Below are 22132 nucleotides of genomic sequence, written 5' to 3'. Positions count from 1 at the left end.
GAGACCAGAGGGGAGGGGCAGGTGGCAGGAGCCAGTGGGTGGAAGCCCCTTGAGCCCCACTGGGTAATGGGGGGTCAGGCAAGGGGTAGGCAGGCAGGAGAGGTAGCCCCTGCCTGAGGGCTGGGGGTTGGTCTCAGAGACTCCTAGAAGTCTGGGGTGGTTCTGCCCTGGTCTGGGGAATGGTTGAGGGGGACTGAGAGTCACACTTCCCCTGTGTGGGTGAGGGCATCCCCAGCAGTGTTTAAGGGGCCGGTCCAGCAGGAAGTGCTGGGGCAGCCTCAGAGGTCAAAAGAAGGGACAGGCCTTGCCATGGAGGGTGCCGGGGAGCCTCAGAGTCAATCTCCAACTCCTAGACCTCCAGGCTGAACCTTGACACCTGCCTCCTCCAACTCTCCCTCACTCTGCCCATCTCTCCAGGCAGCCCCTGTCCCAAGCCTCCTGAGCAGGGTGAGCTGGGGTCAGGCCCTGACCAAAGGCCTCCCAGTCCAACCCTCTGCAGACCCTGCCCCTGGCCACCCTCTTCTTGCCTCCGTGTGTGTGTCCAGCCACAGCTGCTGTGGCTCAGGAGGCTCCCTGGGGAGGGATTTGAGGTGGGGGTTGGGGGTGGGGGCACTTCAGAAGGGTGGGCAGCAAAGGCTGAAAACACTGGAAGGTGCCACATATTGAGTGCCTGCTCAATATGCCTGCAAGCCAGGCCTTTGTAGATTTCCATTCATACATTTCACAAATATTATCGATTGAGCATTTTCTTGACGTTGTCCTAGCCATGGAAGATACAACTGTGAATAAGACAAAGTCTGTGCCTCTCAGTTAAAGAGTCTGACTTTAACAAATATCCATATAAGGCAGTGTCCGGTAGTGATAAGTGGGATGCTGAAAAAGGAAACAGAGTAAGGAGATAGAGGCTAATGGGGTGCTTTTTAGGATAGAGTGGTCAGGGAAGAAAGGCCTTGCATTTGAGGAGGTGCCCGAATGGGTATGAGGAGTCATGGAGATGCCTGGGCAAGAACATTCCAGCCAGAAGGAGCTCGGGACCCAGCAGTTGAGTGGGGGCACACAGGGACAGGTTGCACAGGCCTGGCAGGCCGGCTGCTAGCTTTGGCTTTTACTCTGAGGGAGGTGGCAAGTCACTGGGGAGTGAGAACTGATCAGATTTGAGATCTGCTTCATCCCTCCCTCACAAGCCTGCAAGGTGGAGCTATCCTAATTCCATTACACAGATGAGGAAACTGAGGCTCAGAGAAGTTAGTTGAATTCCCAAATCCCACAGCAGGAGGAATCCCTGCCTGCTGCCTGTCTGTCACAGTGTGCTCCATCACCAGAGCACCCTGCTGTCCTCCATGACTTCCTGTTGTCTGGACAGTAAGGATCGGGGTCTTAGCATGGCCTTCAAGGCCCTTCTCAGTCTGCACTCAGCCTCCCTCTCCCTCTATCACTTAACCTCCCCTTCTCCTCCCTGGGCCTTACCTGTCTTCACGCTGTCCCCTTGAGAGGACCCTTGATACAGATTCTGGCTCCTGAGTGACTGAGCCAGTTACTTAACCTCTCTGAGGCTGTTTCCTAATCTGTAACATGGCCTGAAGCCACCTGCTTGCTAGGTTGTTGGAAGGATTTTATGAGGCAATCCATGTGATATGTTTAGTGTGGTGCTGGGTAGACGGTAAGCACTGCATAAACACGACCTTTTGTTGCTGCAAGCAGGGGTGGCCGGATCAGGTGAGCAAGTTCCAGGGCTCCCTGTGGGCCTGCTGGAGAATCGAGAGGGAGACTGAGTCAGGGAGTCTTCCCTAGCTGTTGTCTGATTATAGTCAGGAGACTGAGGTCACACATCAAATTGGAGGCCAAAGCCTGTGGGGCTGGTCCCCCTGTCTCCCTCTTTCCCTTCTGACCCTAGTCCCGGCCCCACCCATGTGGTCACCCTCTCCAGCCAACACAGGCAGCTTCCCCTTTCACGTGCCAGCAGTAAGGGACCCCCTTATTTTCTGTCTTCTGCATTCCAGGGGCCATCTAGAGAGTAGGCAGGTCTGGGTCCCTGTTCCCCTGCACCCCTAGTTCTGGGGTACAGAGGAGCCCACCAAGTCCCTCCTCCTTGGTGGGCAGGAGCTTTAGGTTTCCAGTGAGCTCACAGAGGAGTCAGTTGGCGGCCTCCCCTTCCCTCTTGGGGCAGGGTGGGTGCTGGCCCTCGGCCCCCAGGGCACGTGGTGAGGGTCTGTATCTTGAGTGCTGGTGTCACTGGGTCTGTCCACTCCCGCTGCCTGTGATTCTGTGGTCAGCCCTGTGCACTCCCACCCTGCTGCGGTCAGCCCTGTCTCTTCCTGTTTCTGCCTCATTTATGGTGTTCGGAGTCCCCCTCCTGCTCCCGCTGGGGGCAGTGGTCACAGGAGGATCTTCCTGGAGTCATCCTGTGGCTCCTCAGGCTGCCCCTTGCCCTCTGTGGGAGGAGTTGCCACAGGAAGTCCCCAGCCCCTGTAGAGTGTGTCTGTGCCTGAGGGCCAGGGAGCCAGGCCAGAGCCCTGTCTTGCTGGTGGTGGGAGCGCCCCAGGTCTCTGTAGGTGTGGGGCTGGTTGAGTCACCTTTCTAAGTGGGAAGGGCCTGAGCTAGGCCGAGGGTGAGGACTGGGAGAGTGGGGAGGGTCCTGGGGTGAGGCTGTGGAGGGTTGGGGTCAGGAGCTATGCCATGTATTAGATGAGCCCGGTGGGCTAGAGTATGTCCTGGTTGCAGGGGGCAGAGGCAGGAGGCAGCGGTGAGGGCCCAGAAGTCCAGGCAAGCTGAGGGGCCTGGGTTGAATGGGGGCAGTGTGGATGCAGGGCAGGGGTGTGCCCAAAACATGGTAAACAGGAAGGAGTTGGGGGAAGCGGCAGGGGTCCCCAGACCCATTAGGGGTCGGGGGTATGTGGTGGGGCCAGAGGGGCATAGTATGTGATAGGCTTTTTGACAAAGCCTAAAACCAAACCATTTAACTTTCAGCTTCATTTATTTGCAAGTGAGGTATGTTAGACATTCCTGAGTCATCCCACACCTCCTTCCCTACCTGACCCTCTTTTGGGTTGGGGCTTGGACATGAGGGGCCCCTGGGTGAGGCTTAAGGTGTGGTAGGTGAGAGTCAGGGCCAGGGTGGGGTCTGATGGTGTCTTGAGGACAAACCTCGGGGACCCTGGCGTCTCGAGTTTATTAATGAGCCTCAGTCCATTTCCCATGTGAAAGTCTGAGGGCTGCGCTCTGTGCTGCTGGCCACCAGTGCCTGGGAGGGAGACCTTATTTGATTAGCTTTGTCTTAGACCCTTGGGAGGGTAAGTCGGGGGCAGGGAGGGGGCTTTGAGTGTCAGTCTCTTATTTTCCATCCAGATGGCCTAGGAAATTAGCAGTTTCTCTTATAATAGTTCTGTTAGTAATCTATGCATGTTATACTTAAATGATAAAGCTACCTTATAATGATGGTTTTGGGGAGCAAACTGGAACAAACTCAATTGTAATGACTTAAAACATGTTTATCATTTTTTTCTAATTATAAAAGTGATAATTGTGAAAACTTGAAACAGTGCAGACATGAAGGTTGTAGAAAGTGAAAGTCTTTCAAGATTGGGGTTGGAGTTAGCGTGAGGCCTGAAAGTGGGGTCAGCAATGCCTACTGTCCCTTGGTCTTTCATGTCCCTTAGTCATTAATAAAACTGTGGTTTAGCATTTTATTAGGGTGATGCTGGTAGGGTTGCTGCAGGAAGGTTGTTAAAAGGTCCTGCCTCCCACCAGGTCCACTGTGTGTGGGTGTGCGTGTTGTGCACTGCTCAAAGGTGCCTGGCAGGTGTAGGGAAGTGAGGGCCAGAAGAAGGAGGACTGAAACCCAGCCTGTCCTCTTCTTGCTCAGCTGCTTCCCTTGGTGTGGGGCTCCTGGAAGAAGAGGAATCTTTTTCTTATTTGCCTAAAGGCCCCACCTGGGTTGGAGACAGCTCTTCTCCCCCTGCTCCCCACAGTCCCCAAGGGGAGCTGGTGAGTTCATTGTATGATGGGAGTGTGCCATGCCAGGGCATTCCAGGGGAGGTCCAGAATGCCGTGAAGTCAGGTCTGGTCTGGAGCTCTGCAGGGGGACATGGCTGGAGGTAGGCTGTGGTAGTCATTGGTGTCTGGGGTAACCGAGAACCTCAGGATGTGGAGGGAGTCTAGCCCAGAGCCTGGCTACAAGCCTAGCACCCAGGGTCAGGACTAGCCAAGACCTTAGGGCTAGGGACAGGAAGTGACTGCCTGACGGCAGAGGAGTGAGCAGAAGAGCACGCTGGCCTCCAGTACACATGCGGTGGCGTGTCATGGTCATCTGGGTGCCAGGCTCTAGGAGGCAGGGAGTGACAGCTCTACTTTGTGGAGGGGAAACTGAGGCTCAGAATGTGATGTGACTTGCCCCAGGCTTCAGACAAGAAATGGTGGAGCCAGGACTGGAACCAGACTTGCCTTGCATACTGGGTGGGGAGGGGGCCCAGGCCTGGAGCCGAGGGACATTGCTGATAGACCCCCAACTCCCCACCAGCAAGCTGAGGCAGCTCTTCATTCCCCCGGCTCTGGGGTCCCACTCAGTCCTCACTGCCCTGAGGGGCTGCTCCCCATCAGCCACCAGCACTCCGGAGACCCCAGAAGACAGGCCACACCACACATGGGCCAGGACAGGAATCTCCTGGTGCCAGGGAGAGTTATAGGGCAGAGATGCGGCCTGGGGTAGGACAGGAGACCCCAGTGTGCCTTCCTGAGACTGTTATGTGGTGGCCACCAGTCCCCGAGAGATGGAAAATAGGCTGCTTGGCCCAGAGATCGGTCAGCTGCCCACTCGAAGGCTGTACCTGCTGCCTTTCCTGGCAGGGCTGGAGGGAGGTGGCTTCTGCAGAGGCGTGGGGGCCACTTCTGCACCCTCTGGGCTGGGAACCCAGCCCCCACTAGTTCCTCATATCTGCGGAAGTGCCTCTAACACTCTTGCCTGAGTGAGCGGAGCCTGGAGAAGGCCCAGGAGGGCAGCAGACCGAAGAGGCCCTATGCAGAGGTATCACCTGGTGACTGGGCCGGGGAGGGGGCCAAGGGTGGGGTATTGGGCTGTGGGGTTGTTGCACACAGTTGAATTGCTGGTAGGAGCTGTGTGTGGTGGGAAAGGGCAGATCTGAGGTGTGGCCATTGGGTGGGGTGGTAGGTGTGTGTGGCCCTGGGAGATGTGTGGCCCTTGAGGTAGTGTGAGGTGTGCATTTGTGGTACCAGTGGGGTGTGGTTTGTAGACCCAGGCCTGGCCAGAGCTGGCTGTGTATGTTCTTGGTTCCTGTTGGGGAGCTCCGAGGAGTTTCCTGAGGTCTGGATGCTGGGGTCGCTGCCCTGCCTGCCTGTGCTGGGACAGCTGGGCCCAGGGTAGGGGATGAGGCTGTATAAGGGAGGTGGTGGTGGACAAGCTGAGGCCTCAGTTAGGACCCCTAGCCTGCCTTCCTCCCCTCCTTGCTCCCCATAGGGCTAGGTCTTTCCTTGAACCCAGGGCAGAGGCCTGTGCGGAGGGGAGCTGAGGATGCAATCAGGGGAGGCGGCCTGGCCAAGAGGACTCCAGAGCTGGGTGTGGAAAGGGTTAGGACCTTTAAGGCTGCCCTGATCCAGGGCTGACTCATGCAAATCAGAATGCAAAACAGGCTCAGGGAGGCCTCAAGAGAGAGCCACACCCACACGGTCAGCAGACTATGCAGGTGACGGAGGGCCAGCCATTGAGCCTTTCTCTCTAAACATCTTCTGTTCCCACCCCACTGACATCTCCTGTCACCAAATTCACCAGGTCCTTTTCTGTCCCTGGGCTTTGCACACCCAGTCCCCTTTGCCTGGAATGGCCTCCACCTGGCCACCTCCTACTTATCCTTCAAGGCCCAAGTCAGGGGTTCCTTCTAGAAGCCTCCCTTACTTCACCAGACAGAAGCAGTCACGTCCTCTGAAGGCCCCGTGAGCTCCAGCAGGTGACCTGGTGAGTTTCTACCTCACACAGCTTCCATGACATTGACATAGAGAAGAATCACAGGCCTTAGGGTTGTTATAAGAACAAATGAGGGACTGGGTGCGGTGGCTCACGCCTGTACTCCCAGCACTTTGGGAGGCCAAGAGGGGAAGCTCGCATGAACTCAGGAGTTCGAGACCAGCCTGGGCAACGTGGCAAAACCCCATCTCTACAAAAAGTACAAATATTAGCCAGGCATGGTGCATGCCCCTGTAGTCCCAGCTACTCTGGAGAGGCTGAGGTAGGAGGATCACTTGAGCCCAGGAGGCTGAGGTTGCAGTGAGCTGAGATCACACCACTGCACTCCAGCCTGGGTGACAGAGTGACCCTGTTTCAAAAAAAAAAAAAAGAACAAATGAGATGAAGGAGAAAATCTAGCAGGGGCTGGGCACATGGTTGCCAAATGGTGTGCATTTAGGGAAAGAAGGAAGCTGGAGGGTGCCTGTCTTTGGCTAAGGCTCTGGGTCATCTTCTTGCTGGGCCGGTGAAACAGGTCACTAGTCAGTAGTGGGTAGAGATATTACCATGGAGTTGCTGGGCTGGGACAGAGAAGGGGTGATGAGATTTGAACTCTGACCTTGGGGTTGAAATGGTAGGTAGAGGACAGAAGGGCAAAAGTTTTGGTTCCAGCAAGAAGTACTCAAGCCAGACGTGAAGAAGGACTGGCTGACAAGGATTAGAGATTCCAGGCGACCCTTACCTCTGGACTGGGACTGAGTGCACCTGTGAGCCCAGCCAGGTCCTGGGCACCACTGTGGACAGCAGAGGAGATAAGAAGGGGTATGGACTCTCAGGATACTCCAGGATACATGGGGGATTGGGTGGAGGTGGACCCCCACAAAACAAGCAACCAAAGAGAGAGCAGAAGCAGTGCCGAGATATGGGGCTCAGCCTCAGAGGACTAGGAGCTTGAGGGGGCAGTCAGGGCAGACTTTTTGGAGGAGCTGGCCTGGAGCCACCTGAAGATGGGAGGATGTGGTTTACTCACTCATTGTCAGCAGACAACTTTGGGGGCTCCCTGTTTGCCAGGCCAGTGCCTACTGTGAGAAGTGACATGGAGGAAGTCATGGACAGGGCCAGCCCAGCCTGGCTGGGGGTTGGGGTATGTCACTGACAACTTGAGCAAGTCACTTCCTCCCTGTGGGTGTTTGTTTCTTCGTCTGTAAACGTCAGAGCTGGATGAAGTTGAATGACAGACCAAGGAGTGCTCGAAGGCACTGGGAACCATGGAAAGGCTTTGAGTGGGGGTGGGACTGTAGTTGGCACAGTGGAGAGACGCTGGAGGGACATGAGAGAGAAGGAGAGGCAGGATGGGGGTGTGGGGGTGCTGAAGTCTGATTGGGCCATTAGGGTGGAGAGGAGGGAAACCCCTCAGCTCTTGGCTGTGCTGTCGCAACAGGATGACACTCCCTTCTGCCAGGTCCCTGCCTTCCTGAGGATGAGGACTCAGTGATGTGTCATAGCAGCTGAGGGGCTTAAACCTCCAAACTAGGGCTTGGATTAGGGTAGAGCAAGTGAGGCACTTGCCTCTGTTGCAGAATTTGAGGGGGTACCAAAAAGCTCAGTAATTAGCTGGGTTTGGTCATGAGATCCTGTGGTCCCCGCTACTGGGGAGGGGGAGGTGGGAGGATCACTTGAGCCCAGGAGGTTGAGGCTGCAGTGAGCCATGATCATGCCACTGCACTCCAGCCTGGGCAACAAAGCGAGACCTTCCCTGTCTCAAAAAAAAAAAAAAAAAGGTAACTAAAATGTAAAAGCAATAACTATTTATTTTAAAAAGGTCAGTATTCAAGGTATATAATATTTAATGCCATTTAAAAAATAAAAATTAATGCCAAAAATCCATGATGAGCAAAATATAAAACATTAACATTTTAAATTAAGAGAGGAACAGTACTGATGATTCTGTCTTTGCCTCAGGCTGCAGTGTGGCTTAGCAGGGCACTGCTCTGAACTTCTTTTTTCAATTTGCTGCTTTCTCCGGGAAGCCTTCCCTTACCTCAGCCTGGTTGAGGGCCCCCTGGGCTGTTTTCACTGGTTGATGGTATCTGATCCCTTCCAGCCTGAGGTTCCTGGAGGGCCAGTCCAGGTCTGAGGTCTGGTTCATGCTTCCAGTGCCTTGAACATGGCTGTTCCAAAGAGGTGTCAGTGCCGAGTCACCGTGTCTTTGATGTTAGCCAGATGCCCTTAGTGCAGGAATAGGAACTTGAGAGAGGCCCAGTAGGGAGCCAGGCTTTTCTCAGGGAGATAAGTAGTTTCCTGTTTCCCAGACCTGGTCATTCCAGTGGGGTTGCTGGGACCGTCATCTATCAATCTGTGTTAAACGCTTAGTACAGTGCCTGGCCTGTATATAGCAGGTGCTCAGTTTTTGCTTTTGTTTTTGAGCTGGAGTCTCACTCTGTCGCCCAGGCTGGAGTGCAATGGCACGATCTCAGCTCACTGCAACCTCTGCGTTTCAGGTTCAAGCAATTCTCCTGCCTCAGCCTCCCGAGTAGCTGGGATTACAGGCACCCACCACCATGCCCAGCTAATTTTTTGTATTTTTAGTAGAGACAGTCGGGCTGGTCTCGAACTCCTGACCTCAAGTGATCTACCCGCCTTGGCCTCCCAAAGTGCTGGGGTTACAGTCATGAGCCACTGCGCCCGGCCCTCAGTTTGTGTTTTGAGAGGCCGTGAAGAGTGGTTAAAAGTGGATGGCCAAAGGCTGGTGGCTCACGCCTGTAATCCCAGCACTTTGGGAGGCAGAGGCAGGTAGATCACTTGAGCCCAGGAGCTCAAGACCAGCCTGGGCAACATGGCAAAACCCCATCTCTACAAAAAAATGGAAAAATTAGCCGGGCGTGGTGGTGCAAGCCTGTAGTCCCAGGTACTTGGGAGGCTGACGTGGGATAATTGCTTGGGCCCAAGAGGCAGAGGTTGCGGTGAGCAGAGATTGTGCCACTGCACTCCAGCCTGGGTGACAGAGCGAGACCCTGTCTAAAAAAAAAAGTTGAGAGCTACAGTCTCCAGTATGAATAGAGTGTAAGCCACAATGCAATTTAAACAGTCCAAGTGAAATTAATGTTAATAATATATTTCATCATGTAAACAATAGGGAAAATTATTGAGATATTTTGCATTCTTTTTTTTTTTTTTTGTGCTCAGTCTTCAAAATCCACTGTGTTCAAAATCTAGCACATCATATTCCAGGGACCACATTTCAAATGTCCAACAGCCACGTGTGGCTACTGCTGGCTGCTATTGGACAGCACAGGGCTAGACTATATTCATACTGCCTCCTTCTTAGGTGTGTGGCTTTGGAAAGTTGTTTAACCTCCCTTTATCTCAGTTTCTTCACCTTAAAACAGGGATAGCAATCATATGTATCTCCTGGGGCTGCTGTGAGGCTTTAATGAGTTAATATAAAGTACTTGGATACCTGGCATGCAGTAAGCACTGTTTATGTGGTCTCTTTTTCTTGTTTCAAATTGTCGTTTGAGTAGCACTGCCATTTTTGCCAATGCTTTCATCTGAAGTGCTAGCTACTTAAAGGTTGTTTTTTAAGTATTGACTTTTGGGCTGGGTGCAGTGGCTTATGCCTATAATCTTAAGCACTTTGGGAGGTCAAAGTGGGAGGATTGCTTGAGGCCAAGAGTTTGAGACCAGCCTGGGCAACATAACGAGACCCTGTCTTTACAAAAAATAACAAAATTAGCTGGGCACAGTGGCATGCACTTGTAGTTCCAGCTACTCAGGAGGCTGAGGCAGGAAGATTGCTTGAGCCTGGGAGTTGGAAGTTGCAGTAAGCTATGATTGCACTACTACACTCCAGCCTGGGCAACAGAGCAAGACCCTGTCTCAAAAATAAAATAAGGCAAGGTGTGGTGGCTCACACCTGTACTTCTAGCAACTGGGGGGGCTGAGGTGGGTGGATCACTTGAGGTCAGGAGTTCGAGACCAGCCTGGCCAACATGGCAAAACCACGTCTCTACTAAAAATACAAAAATTAGCTGGGCATGGTGATACGCACCTGTAGTCCCAGCTACTCGGGAGGCTGAGACAAGAGAATCGTGCTTGAACTTGGGAGGTGGAGGCTGCAGTGAGCCAAGATTGCGCTACTGCACTCCAGCTGGGGCAACGGAGTTAGACTCTGTCTCAAAATAAATAAACTAAAATAAAATATTTAAAAAATGTATACCTGTTTTAGCCCTATCCTAGGCAGTGATAATCATGGAGTTTGCTTAAGATAAATACCTGTTTATGTGTTTGTAAGATGTAAAATGTTCATGAATACCTACTGAAGCCATTATGCAGAGCACAGCAGTTTTGAAGTTAACCCTAGTGTTGGCAGACCTGACTGTTCCAGGTCCTGGGGAGGGAGACCTGTCCATGCCACTCCACTGGTCCCTAGCCCCACAGAGCTCCGGCTGTCTGCATAGCAAGGGTGGTGGCCTGTCAGGAATATCCTATTCTTTCTCCTCCTGCCTGGAAGCATCCCCTTTTGGTCTGTTTTCCTCAACCTCCCCTACATATTTAGGGGCAGGGCCCTGGGGTCTCATGCCCCTGACTCAGTTACCCTACTTGTGCCCTCAGGCCACTTCATGGTCCCCAGGCTTAGTGGAGAGGGTCCTGTGTCCCTGGGTCCTCTAAGGTCCCCCACCTCTCCTGACAGGCTCTGTGTCAGGGAGACCTCTTTAGTCGCAGGGCTGCATTGTCCCTTCCTCACCCTTCCTGGGGCTGTCCCTTCCACAGTCTGCCCCTACACACATCCCAGCACTGGTCTTGCAGGGCCAGAGAGTGGGGAAGTCCTGACTCCTCTTTACCACCTGTGCAGCCCCCACATCTGGACAGGCCTGTCTGTCTGCCTTCTCCCTCCAGGAAGGCCTTCCTCTGGTCTGACTTCTGTTGCCAGTTTCCATGAGCATGAGGTTCCCCGAATCCTTTCCTCTTCCCTCTTCCTTCTCTTCCTCTTCTTCCACCTCTTCCCCATCTCTTCTTTTTTCTTTTCTTTTTTTTGAGACAGGGTCTGGCTCTGTTTCCCAGGCTGGAGTGTAGTGGCTCAATCACAGCTCACTGCAGCCTCCACCTCCTGGGCTCAAGTGATTCTCCCACCTCAGCCTCCTGAGTTCCTGGGACTACAGGCACACACTACCACACCTGGATAATTTTTGTATTTTTGTTGTACAGATGGGGTCTTCTTATGTTGCCCAGGCTGGTTTTGAACTCCTGGACTCGAATCCACCTGCCTCCCAAAGTGCTGGGATTACAGGCGTGAGCTACTGTGCCTGGCCCCCATTTCTTCTTTCCTTTTCCCTGTCCCTCTCCCTCTTCCCCTCTCCTTCTCTGGCATCTCATAGTGGCCTTGCCTCACGGGCTTTCTCCTCCATCCCTGTCCTTGCAGCTCCCGCCTCAGGCCGAGATGAGGAGCCCTTCAGAATAGCTGCTGTCTCTGGGAGGACCCGGGCGTCCTTGGCAGCCCAGCTGGTGAGTCAGGAGGTGGAGCGGTGGGAACAGGGCTGGCTGTGGCACGCTAGGCCTTAACATTGAGGTCGGGGAAGGCTTGATGGAGGCTGACACCTGATAGCCCATTTTCCATTTTGAGAACTGAGCTTGAGAGGCAGAGGGTGAGGCCCAGAGAGCTTGCTACGAGCCTCCCAGCAGGCCTTGGAACCTTGGAACAGGGTGGGGGTACGAGACAGAGGGACAAGGCAGGGGCCAGCAGGCTGAATTGCAGGTCTGTGTTTATGTATCTCCTCACTGGATTCCCCTCCCTGCCTGGCAAGTTTTGTTCCCTTTCTCATTCTCAGGCTCTATTCATGGTTATCACATTCCCTTTTAATTTTTATTTACTTTTTGGAAAATGATACAAAATTTAAAAGATACAGAAGGGTATAGTGTCTCCTGTCTTCCCAGCTGTCAATTCCCCTCCCCAAACTCAGTTTTATATATATCCGTCCAGTTTTCTGTGTTTATATTTGCATATATATATAACATATGTATATTTTTTTCTTTTTCTTTAACCGAGATGTTTACATAACACTGTTCTGCATCTTGCTTTTCCACTTAACACATCTCTAATATCATTTTATATGAACTTTAGAATCTGCTGGTCTCAACAAATTCCAGCTGGTAATTTTAGTTGGGATGGTGTTAAAGTTTTAGCTTAACCCTGGAGGAACTGACATCTTTATATGTTGAAGTGAAAAGTCTCCCTCTCCTCAGAGGTGGATTTCCAGGGAAGCTGGAGTTTGAGGTGCAGGGCTCCTTCCAGGATCTAAAGAGGGTCCTGAACAGTGTGTGCATGTGGTCATGTGTTTTTGTGAATTTTGCAAAAGTGAGATACTCTTAAGGAGAATGTGTTAGTCTGTTTTGTATTGCAATCAAGGAATACCCTGAGTAATTTATAAAGAAAAGAGGTGTATTTGGCTCAGGGCTCTGCAGGCTGTATAAGCATGGCACCAGCATCTGCTCAGCTTCTGGTGAGGCCTCAGGAAGCTTTTAGTCAGGGCAGAAGGCAAAGCGGGAGCAGGCATGTCACATGGTGAGGGAGGAAGCAAGAGAGAAGCCGGGCTCTTTTAACCAGCTAGCTCTTACATGAACAAATAGAGTGATAACTCACTTGTTACCATGGGGAGGGCACCAAGCTATTCATGAGGGATCTGTCCCCGTGACCCCAGACACCTCCCACTAGGTCCACCTCCAACATTGGGGGTCACATTTCAACATGAAATTTGGAGGGGACAAACATCCAAACCATATCAGAGGGCACTTAAATTGTGTAAGCTTCAGGTCCCATGAACTTCAGGCCCTGTGAACTCTGCATCTTCCACTGTTCCCTCCTGTCCCTTCAGGCCTTAGTTTTCGTCCTAGGAGGAAGCTGATAACTGTTGTCACCTTGCCCTCATGTGTCTTTTCAGAGATACTTTGTTCATTTACCAGTAGCTGCACACTACTCCATGCTCCCCCTTGTTTTTTTCACAGAGAGAGAATGTTACACAAACTGTTCTGCACTTTTCTTTACTCCTTTAACAGTGTATCTTATAGATCATCCCATGTCAATATGTGAGGAGTTTCCTCATTCTTATGGCCGCTCAGTATTCTATTGCACAACTACAACATAATTTAGTTAACTATTCTCCCATTGATGGCCATTTTGGTTATTTCCATTCTTTTGCTATTAAACACAGGCACTGTAGCTAGTAACCTTCTATATATGTCAATTCTGGCAGGTGCCAGTAAAAATGCAGGCTAAGTGCCTATGGGTGGCTGGGTCAGCCATCTGCATCTCTGTTTTTGGGGGAGGCGGGAGGACAAAGTGTCCCCCAGGCTGGAATGCAATGGTGTGATCTCGGCTCACTGCAACCTCCACATCCTGGGTTCAAGCGATTCTCCTGCACCTCAGACTCCTGAGTAGCTGGGATTACAGGTGTCTGCCACTGTGCCTGGCTAACTTTTTGTATTTTTAGTAGAGACGGGATTTTACCATGTTGACCAGACTGGTCTCGAATTCCTGACCTCAAGTGTTGGGATTACAGGTGTGAGCCACCGCGCCCAGCCCAGACATCTGCATCTCTTAGGGCTTTCATGCCTAGAGGCATTCCACAGCCAGGGAAGGGATGCCCTACCACATCACCAATGCCTGTATTTTCCAACTTTATTGCTCTTTGACAATCTGATAGGTAGAAAGCAGTATTTCAAAATATTTTACATTCATATTTCCTAGTGTGGGGGAGGTTAAGTTCCTTTTCAGATATTTAAGAGCCATTTATATTTTCCTTTTTGTAAATTTTTTCATTCATACTCTTTGCCCATTTTTCTGTTAGATTATTGATCCGTTTCTTATTTCTGCATGCTTTTCAACTTTTAGGAAAATGAGCCCTTTGTGTGGAATATGAGTGGCAGATATCCCCTAGTTTGTTGTTTAGCTCTTGGCTTTGCTTATGGTGCTTTTTACCATGCAAGAGTGCTTGATTTTTGTAGAGTTGAATATTTCAGTCTTTTCTGTGTGCCTTCTGGACTTGTTTCATTTCCAGAAGGCTTTTGCCTCTCTGAAATGATTTTTTTTTTTTTTTTTTAGAGACAGTCTCACTCTGTTGCCCAGGGTGGAGTGCAGTGGTGTGCAGTGGTGTGATCATAGCTCACTGCAGCCTTGAACTCCTAGGCTCAAGCAATTCTCCCACCTCATCCTCACAAGTAGCTGAGACTACAAGTGTGCAGCTGCCTAATTTTTAGGTTTTTTTTTTAGTAGAGACAGAGTCTTGCTGTGTTGCCCAGGCTGGTCTTAAACTCCTGGCCTCAAGCAGTCCTCTTGCTTTAGCCTCCCAAAGTGTTGGGATTACAGGCGTGAGCCACCATACCCAGCCCTAGGATGATTTCGTAAATCCTTTCATTTTTTATTTTTTATTTTTTTTTCTGAAGTGGAGTCTCTCTCTGTTGCCCAGGCTGGAGTGCAGTGATCTCGGCTCACTGTAATCTCCACCTCCTGGGTTCAAGCAATTCTGCCTTAGCCTCCTGAGTAGCTGAGATTACAGGTGCTTGCCACCATGCCCGGCTAATTTTTTGTATTTTTAGTAGAGACAAGGGTTTGCCGTGTTGGCCAAGCTGGTCTCAAACTCCTGACCTCAGGGGATCTGCCTGCCTCAGCATCCCTAAGTGCTGGGATTATAGGTGTGAGCCACCTTGCCCAGCCATGGTTTTTTAAAATACTGAAGTCTTTGATACAGCTGTAATGTTTCTTGTTGTAAAGTGTGAGATAGGGATCCACATTAGTTTTTTTTGAGAGCACTCCACAGCTGTCCCAACAACTTAAGAATCCCTTGTTTCCCCACAAGTTTGAGAGGCTACTTTTAGTGTATCCTAAATTTGTATATGTATTTGGGTCTACTTTTGAACTTTCTGTTCTGTTTAATTGATCTGTCTGTTCATGCACTGTTACCATATACTGTTTTAATCATTGTGGCTTTATAATATGTTTTAACATGTGGTGAGGTTGACTCCTACTCTTTACCCTCCCCGCCCTCCACCCCTGCTTCCAGAATTTTCCTCACTCTTCCTGCTTATTTTTCCACATGAAATTTCAAATCAGCTTCAAAAAAAATTCTGTACATATTTAATTGGATTGTGTACATTTATAAAGTAACTTAGACATCATTAATCTCTTTATGTTGTCTTCTATCCAGAACTTACTGTGCTCTGCCATTTGTCCAGGTCTTCTTTTTGTCCCTCAGTAACACTCCCAATTTTTCTTCCTATCGCTGTTGTTTATCTCTTAGGAAGTTTATTGGTGTTTTCTATTTTGTGATGCTTTTGTAAATGGGGTCTTTCATCCTGGTTTCTACCTGTTTGTTGCTTATAAATGTTGATTTCTGTTATATTAATTTTCGTTTGTTTCTTTTGTTTTTGTTTTTGTTTTTGTTTTGAGACGGAGCCTCACTCTGTTGCCCAGGCTGGGGTGCAGTGGCATGATCTCGGCTCATGGCAACCTCTGCCTCCTGGGTTCAAGCAATTCTCCTGCCTCAGCCTCCTGAGTAGCTGGGACTACAGGCGCATGCCACCATGCCTGGCTAATTTTTTGTATTCTAGTAAAGATGGGGTTTCACTGTATTGCCCAGGCTGGTCTGAAACTCTTGAGCTCAGGCAATCCACCCGCCTCGGCCTCCTAAAGTGCTAGGATTATAGTTGTGCCCGGCCAGTCTGTTATATTAATTTTGAACCCAACTGTCTTACTAAAGTCTTTACTGGTTGTTATAGTTTCTCAGTTGACCTTCTTGGGCTTTCAAACTCAACACTCATATTATTGGCAACAAATGGATAGTTTATCTCTTCCTTTCTGATTTTAAGACCTCTTGTTTATTTTTGTTGTCCAGAGCTTTCAGAGCAATGTGAGGAATAATAATAACAACAGTAAAATGGATATTCTTTTCTCATTTAAGAAAGTATCAATTTATTTCTGTTTTAGTAAGATTTTTGTTTGTGTAAGTAAGCTGGATATTGGGTTTTATCATATGCCTCTTTAGTGTCTGTGGAGATAATCAGATGACTTTTCCCTTTGATCTGCTAATCACCTCTTTTGGTCACCTCTTCATATCACCTCTTGACTCCCACCAGGCCAGGAGCTCTTGATTACAGGGTGCAGGGGTAGAGCCTGAGTCCCCATTGCCTAGTGCCAGGCTATTTTGAAAGAACAAATGGATGAATGGCCTTAGTGATGGGAGGGTTTACCCAATTCCAGGGCCAGGCCCCCAGAGGCCATGTGATGCTGGGTTTACTCACGTCCCACAGCATTTCACTTCCTCCAGGGGCATGGAGGTAGGGGGAGGCTAGTCTCGGCTCCCAGACTGGGCTTGCAGGAGGGACCAGCAGTGGTATCCTTCAATGCTCGCTAAGCCCTTGGCCTGGCCCTCACTGGGAACTGGTGCCTCAGAGGGAATTAGCCCTGCCGTGGGTCTTGCAGAGGGCAGTGGGGAGGAGGTATAAGACACAGCACCAATCATGCCACTGGCCATTCTCACGGCAGTGGCCAAGGCTGTGTGTTGGGGTGTGGGGTGGTACCAACCCCAGAGATCATGGAGGGTTTCCTAGAGAAGAAAACATGAGCTGGATGCTGGGATAGCACAAGGGAAGGGGTGAGGGGGTTCAGGCGGAGAGAAGAGCCTGTGTGTTCAGAGACCTGGCAGTACCTGGCCTTGCTTAGCACATGGAGCACAGGGGAGGAAGCTCCAGGACAGAACTTGAACCTATGGCTTGAGAGAGCCATGCAGGCTGCTGGTGAGGGGACCAATCCTCGGCAGCCCTGCCTCTGACCTGTGCCTGTCTGTCTATTCTAGCTCTGGACAAAGCCCTGCCAGTCAGGCCTCCGCTGGCAGGAACCATGGCAGAGGCTGGGGATGCTGCGCTATCGGTGGCCGAGTGGCTGCGGGCATTGCACCTGGAGCAGTACACGGGGCTCTTTGAGCAGCATGGCCTGGTGTGGGCCACTGAGTGCCAAGGCCTCAGCGACACCCGCCTGATGGACATGGGCATGCTACTCCCTGGTCACCGCCGCCGCATCCTGGCTGGCCTGCTCCGTGCCCATACCTCACCGGCCCCTGCACCCCGCCCCACCCCACGGCCTGTGCCCATGAAGCGCCACATCTTCCGCTCACCACCTGTGCCTGCCACTCCACCCGAGCCGCTGCCCACCACTACAGAGGATGAGGGGCTCCCCGCTGCCCCACCCATCCCGCCCCGGAGGAGCTGCCTTCCGCCCACCTGCTTCACCACCCCATCCACAGCTGCCCCAGACCCTGTGCTGCCCCCGCTGCCTGCTAAGCGGCATTTGGCAGAGCTGAGCGTTCCACCCGTGCCGCCCCGCACCGGACCCCCCCGCCTGCTGGTGAGGTGAGTGGATGCCACCCAGGGTGGGAGGCGCACAGGCAGAGGATCCCAGAGGGTAGATGGGGAGTTTGTGGCCTTTGGTGCTGGGGTAAGAAAGGCACTTCGGAAGTGCAGGGGGAACAGCGTGTGCAAAGCTCGGAGGACAGGATTGCTGTCTGGTGACTCAGGAGGAGGGGAGAGCTGTGCAGGTACTCAGCGCAGTGCCTGGGCTGCTGGGCGTGTGCCAGTGAGGCCTCCAGGTTTCTGTCTTGGGTGGCTGGGTGGACAGTCGTGCCATCACTGATCCAGAGACCCAAGGACAGAAGTGACTTTGGGAGGAAGTCGAGTTCAGCTTGGGACCTGGCAACTGTGAGATACTGCAGGGTATCGGGGTCCATGCCGGCATCAAGAGGCAACATGTGTAGGAAACGGAAAGCTGCGGGGTAGGGTTGGGGGTGAGGGGACTGCCCAGGTCCTGGTGGTGTGCTCTTTCACACCCTGTCCCCTTCTCCCACTGCCAAATGTCAGCAAATCCTGGGACACTTCTCAGGCCTCATCTGGCATGCCCTCCCTCCTCAGAACTGTTTCCCCTCTGGGGCTTCTGGTACCCTGTGTTTTCTTGAGTTTCCTCTGGCTCCTGTGGATATTCCATGTTAATCTCCTTCACAGACGCCCTCCCTTCCTGCCATCTGCTGGGATGCCCGGCTGTCAGGGAGCATCCCCAGACAGGGTAGATATGTGTTTGGGGTGAGGGAGATTTGGTGGAGCACTTGGGCGAAGTGAGGCTAATCTTGGAAGGCTTCTTGGAGGAGGAAGGGGTGTGCGGAGAGAGGTCTCCTGGTCCCTGTTTGTTTATTGCTGGGCACTCTGCTGGGCTCTGTGTTTCTATGGTCTCCATGATCCCTGCAGCAGACCTTCTGGGAGATTTGTGTACTGGCTTTACGAGCAGGACATGAACAAATCAGAGGGAGAGCAGGGAGGGGGCCCTGGCTGGATCCATGCCAAGGACATACTCAGGGGGCCTTGTGGGGAGGGTCTGGGAGATTCTTTCCACCCAGGGAGGAGCATTAAGTCAGGGGGCCTTGAAGACCAAGCTAGTGCTGTGGTGTTTTGAGGGTTGATTGGTAGAAGCACAAAAAGGGTACATGCTCTTCCTGGGTTCACACAACTCGTAACAGGTATAGGGTCTCTCCAGGAACCTGGAGGGAAGCTCAGATTGAAGGTTCCTGGTGCCCTTGCGCCCTCTAGTGACCATTCTTCTGCATGCAGGAGCGTTTTCTATTTCAACCCCATCAGCTTGTGGGGGGGAGAGAGAGAGAGAAAAAGAGAGAGAGAGAGAGAGAGAGAGGTTAGAAGAGAGAAGAGGATAGAGAAGAGAAAGTCTGTCTGTCTGTCTCTGGGGTTGGAAGTGGGTGAACAAAGGGAAGAAGCAGGGCCCTGGCCAGGTCCCCTCTCAGGCCCTTCCTGTGACTCCCGGACGGGCAGTGGAGGCCTGGGTTCCTGCTTGGGAGGCAGGATGCCTGGGTCGGGCCCAGCTAGCTTTGTGACTCTGATGAGGACCTGCTTCTCTGGGCCTGTTTCCCCATCAGGTGCCCTCTGTGGTCCTCCATAGACTTCTGGGCCCTCCTGGCACTGACATCTGAGTTCAGGAGGCTTGCTGGGTAGGAGGAAGTCCTGTCCACACCCCAGGGCTCCAGGGTACCAATGCCTACTCTCAGAGCCTGTCTGAACATAGCCATTTAGGCAACATGAGGAGGAGGCCAGGCGCCATGGTCGGGAAAAGGTCTAGCCCCTTGTAGTTTGAGTACCCAAAATCTGTTCTGTGCTAAGAGAATTGGAAGAAAAGTATTTCCTGCAATTTGGGACTATTCCTTACGGCAGAGTATGGTAGTGGGTAAGCTACCAAGCCTGGCTTCCTGTGTCCTGGGGTCTTTGGCAGTTGGAGTCATGGGCATATGCAGTCTTCAGCTTTGTACACACTCAACTCAGAGAGTGTATGGTCTTCAAAGCCCTGTGGTAGGAAAAACTCACAGCAGATGGAGCCTCATGTGTGTATACCAGGCCAAGACTGAGTGCTGTAGTGATCAGGGTGGGGGCCAACATGGACCCTGACTGGCCACCTTGTCCGCTCTCAGTCCCTTCCTGTGATCCCCAGGCTCCATGGCATGTAGAGAGGAACACTGCTCCTGCCCACCCCCGCCTTGTGGGAGTCCCATCACAGTGTCTCATGACATGGCCTTCCTACCCCTGCTTGCAACCCCTCATGATGGGGAACTCACTCTCTCAACCTTAGGGCCTTTCACACAAGGTCATGTGGTGGCTGAGGCCGGTCATCTCCAGGCTCCCCAGTGGAGCTTGGGGGTGGATGCGTGTGCATGTGTGTACTCTCAGTGTCTCGAGTCAGTGTGAGGCATGTCTGGGCCAGTCTGTGTGTGCACCCATACAGATGGGTGTGGGTGGTAGTACAAGCTGTCAGGGTAGTAGAATGTCTGTGCATTTACACATTCAGACAGGTTCTGAGAGTGTGTGCTACTAAGATGTAGAAGCATGTAGGGATTTGTGCAGTTTCAGTGGTGACATGGAGTGGTGTGTATGTGAGTTTATCAGGACCTTTGTGCTCAATTACTGCTGTGGTGGAGACCCCAACAGTGTGTGAGTACATCCGCGAGTGTGCACGTGCTGTTTGAGCAGAACATGACATTTGTGTTATTTGTGCACTGTCAGGCTTGAGCCAGTGTGTGCACGTGTGTGTACATGTGCTGCCAAGAGGGAGAGCCCATTAGGATGGCAGCTCCACTGGGGCCAGGATCCTAGTCGATTTTGTTTGCTGCAGAATCCCCAACATCTAGAACAGTGCTGGATGCCTAATAGGCCCTTGGGAAGTATATCGTGTGGGTGAGTAAATGATTGCCAACGTGAGCTTGTGTACTGGCACGTGCTGAGCTTGGGGTGCATGTGGGTAAACACGCATGTGACTCAGCACCCAGTGAGTGCCCTCAGCACAGCTGGGCCATAGGGCCCTGAGCTCACCGCCCCAGCTCCCTGTCCCCCATCCTACTACCCAACCTACGTCATCCCAGATATTTTAGGAAGGGAGAGGTCTTCAGAGGAGACAGGTGGGAAGAACGAGGCTGTGATAGGATTGTAGGCCACAGACCAAGGTTTAGGCAAATCAGAAAACAAGCAAGGATGGAGTTCCCTCCTCCTGGCCTTGGCATGGCCCAGGACTCTCAGAACCAGGCTCATGATTCTGCCTGGCCTAGGGGGACTCTACATCACCCCCAGAGTCTGCACCCCCTGCTATTATTATTATTATTATCATCATTATTATTAATAGAGACTAAGTCTCTCTCTGTTGCCCAGGCTGGAGTGCAGTGGTGCCATGATAGCTCACTGTAGCCTCGAACTCCTGGGCTCAAGCAATCCTCCCACCTCAGCCTCCCAAGTAGCTGGGACTACAAGTGTGTGCTACCACACCTGGCTAATTTTTAAATCTTTTGTAAAGACGAGGTATTCCTTTGTTGCCCATGCTGGTCTTGAACTCCTGGGCTCAAGCAATGCTCCTGCCTCGACCTCCCAAAGCACTGGGATTACAGGTGTGAGCCACTGCACTCGGCACCCTACCATTAATTTAAACTCGTGGTGGGGTGCTTGCTGAGGAGCCCAGAGATGCTGAGAAACTTGCCCAGAGTCACCCAGCCCTGCAGAAGGGAAGCCGGTGCCCAGACCCTGCCTCCTGGCTTCAGGTCAGGTCTACTCAGCTCTTAAATGCCGCAGACATGAGCCCTGTGAACTGGCTTCCCTGAGGGTGGCAGAGGGGTCGTTTCTGATGTGAGGTTCCAGGGTCATGCCGCAGATCCCCTCCCAGCTTGCTCTGGCCTTTGGTGTCCCCCTCTGATACCTGGATGCCTGGAGGCACCTCAGGAAGAAGGAGTGTGTGCCCAGAAGGCAGCTGCCCAGCTGGAGCCACACTGCCAAGGCTTCCCTCCTGTGCCCTTGACTGCCCTGCAGTCCAGCCAATCCCTGGTCTTCCTGGAGGCTGATCACTTGTTGCCAGGGCAGAACTTGCGCCCTTCAGAGAGCCTCTTTCCTAGCCTCTCTGTCTCCTTATGCGGGTGGAGTGGTGGAGAGGCCACCGCCAGGGCTTGTCAGTCAGGACTTCCTGGGCATCCACCCTGTGAGGGCCTGCAAGATCAGTGGACACTGTTGGTTGTCTCTTCCCAGCTTGGGTGGGGGTGCAGCCTGGGGGCGGGGAGGAAGTGTCTGCCCCGGGGGATTCTGGGTGACTTTTCGCTTTCTCAGTGTTTTCAGGAAGTGTGTGTGTTGGCCACGGCTGCAGGAGGTGGGGGAGACACAAAGCAGGAAGCCTCCGGGAGACCAGAGCTGGGTGCAGACATACACACACACATACACACAGACACACAGAGTCACACACACTCACACACACTCTCTCTCTCTCTCCCTCTGTCTTTCTCTCTCTCTCTCTCTCTCTGTCCTTTCCTCCTGGACAGATCCACAGTTATACACAGAAACAAACACACACGCACGTAGAGAAGTGATTCACAAACACTTAAAGACATAAATCACAGGTGCAAAGCCATACCTGGGCTCAAAAACCTCCAAGAGAACGCAGCCTCAGACCCACCCAGGGGCCAGGGGCCAGGCTGTTTGCGAGACCAGCCCAGGCGGGACCCAGGCTTGCACGGGCAGGTACACGACATTCTTGGGCATACGCAGCCCGCCTGGCCGGAGCTGTGGGAGTCCTCAGCCCCAAGACCCAGCAGGCGTCTGAGGGTAAGCGAG

General features: G+C 52.2%; 1 protein-coding gene across 5 annotated transcripts in view, besides 8 other annotated features; it reads left to right on the top strand.

Moving 5' to 3' along the window:
* ARAP1 (ArfGAP with RhoGAP domain, ankyrin repeat and PH domain 1) overlaps positions 1 to 22132 on the top strand; it is a 67340-nt gene that overhangs the window by 8436 nt on the left and 36772 nt on the right. For 4 of the 5 annotated variants that reach the window (NR_161388.1, NM_001135190.2, NM_001369489.1 and 1 more), the window contains exon 1: positions 21633 to 22123. Coding sequence is in view for 1 of the 5 variants with exons in the window: in NM_001040118.3 (NP_001035207.1) it covers positions 16845 to 17353 (509 nt within the window). In the remaining 4 variants the exon portion in view is untranslated. Of the gene's footprint in view, positions 1 to 11375; positions 11459 to 16800; positions 17354 to 21632; positions 22124 to 22132 lie in introns of those variants that run through there. The other variant, NM_001040118.3, reaches the window with a different exon arrangement.
* Positions 488 to 1264: an enhancer, noted in NCBI's record as "H3K27ac-H3K4me1 hESC enhancer chr11:72453754-72454530 (GRCh37/hg19 assembly coordinates)". NCBI's record gives its function as "activates a minimal SCP1, AML or CMV promoter by ChIP-STARR-seq in naive H9 embryonic stem cells {active_cell/tissue: H9 hESC(naive)}" and the evidence as "EXISTENCE:reporter gene assay evidence [ECO:0000049][PMID:30033119]".
* Positions 2042 to 2819: an enhancer, noted in NCBI's record as "H3K27ac-H3K4me1 hESC enhancer chr11:72452199-72452976 (GRCh37/hg19 assembly coordinates)". NCBI's record gives its function as "activates a minimal SCP1, AML or CMV promoter by ChIP-STARR-seq in naive H9 embryonic stem cells {active_cell/tissue: H9 hESC(naive)}" and the evidence as "EXISTENCE:reporter gene assay evidence [ECO:0000049][PMID:30033119]".
* Positions 2316 to 2395: an enhancer, noted in NCBI's record as "active region_5200". NCBI's record gives its function as "activates an Ori minimal core promoter by ATAC-STARR-seq in GM12878 lymphoblastoid cells {active_cell/tissue: GM12878}" and the evidence as "EXISTENCE:reporter gene assay evidence [ECO:0000049][PMID:35858748]".
* Positions 2466 to 2515: an enhancer, noted in NCBI's record as "active region_5199". NCBI's record gives its function as "activates an Ori minimal core promoter by ATAC-STARR-seq in GM12878 lymphoblastoid cells {active_cell/tissue: GM12878}" and the evidence as "EXISTENCE:reporter gene assay evidence [ECO:0000049][PMID:35858748]".
* Positions 6834 to 6933: an enhancer, noted in NCBI's record as "active region_5198". NCBI's record gives its function as "activates an Ori minimal core promoter by ATAC-STARR-seq in GM12878 lymphoblastoid cells {active_cell/tissue: GM12878}" and the evidence as "EXISTENCE:reporter gene assay evidence [ECO:0000049][PMID:35858748]".
* Positions 7104 to 7283: an enhancer, noted in NCBI's record as "active region_5197". NCBI's record gives its function as "activates an Ori minimal core promoter by ATAC-STARR-seq in GM12878 lymphoblastoid cells {active_cell/tissue: GM12878}" and the evidence as "EXISTENCE:reporter gene assay evidence [ECO:0000049][PMID:35858748]".
* Positions 14155 to 14224: an enhancer, noted in NCBI's record as "active region_5196". NCBI's record gives its function as "activates an Ori minimal core promoter by ATAC-STARR-seq in GM12878 lymphoblastoid cells {active_cell/tissue: GM12878}" and the evidence as "EXISTENCE:reporter gene assay evidence [ECO:0000049][PMID:35858748]".
* Positions 21607 to 21676: an enhancer, noted in NCBI's record as "active region_5195". NCBI's record gives its function as "activates an Ori minimal core promoter by ATAC-STARR-seq in GM12878 lymphoblastoid cells {active_cell/tissue: GM12878}" and the evidence as "EXISTENCE:reporter gene assay evidence [ECO:0000049][PMID:35858748]".

Source organism: Homo sapiens, chromosome 11 (genome assembly GCF_000001405.40).
Source record: "Homo sapiens chromosome 11, GRCh38.p14 Primary Assembly".
Lineage (NCBI taxonomy): Eukaryota > Metazoa > Chordata > Mammalia > Primates > Hominidae > Homo > Homo sapiens.
The sequence above is the reverse complement of the archived record's forward strand: the minus strand, read 5'-3'. Positions and strand labels throughout refer to the sequence as shown.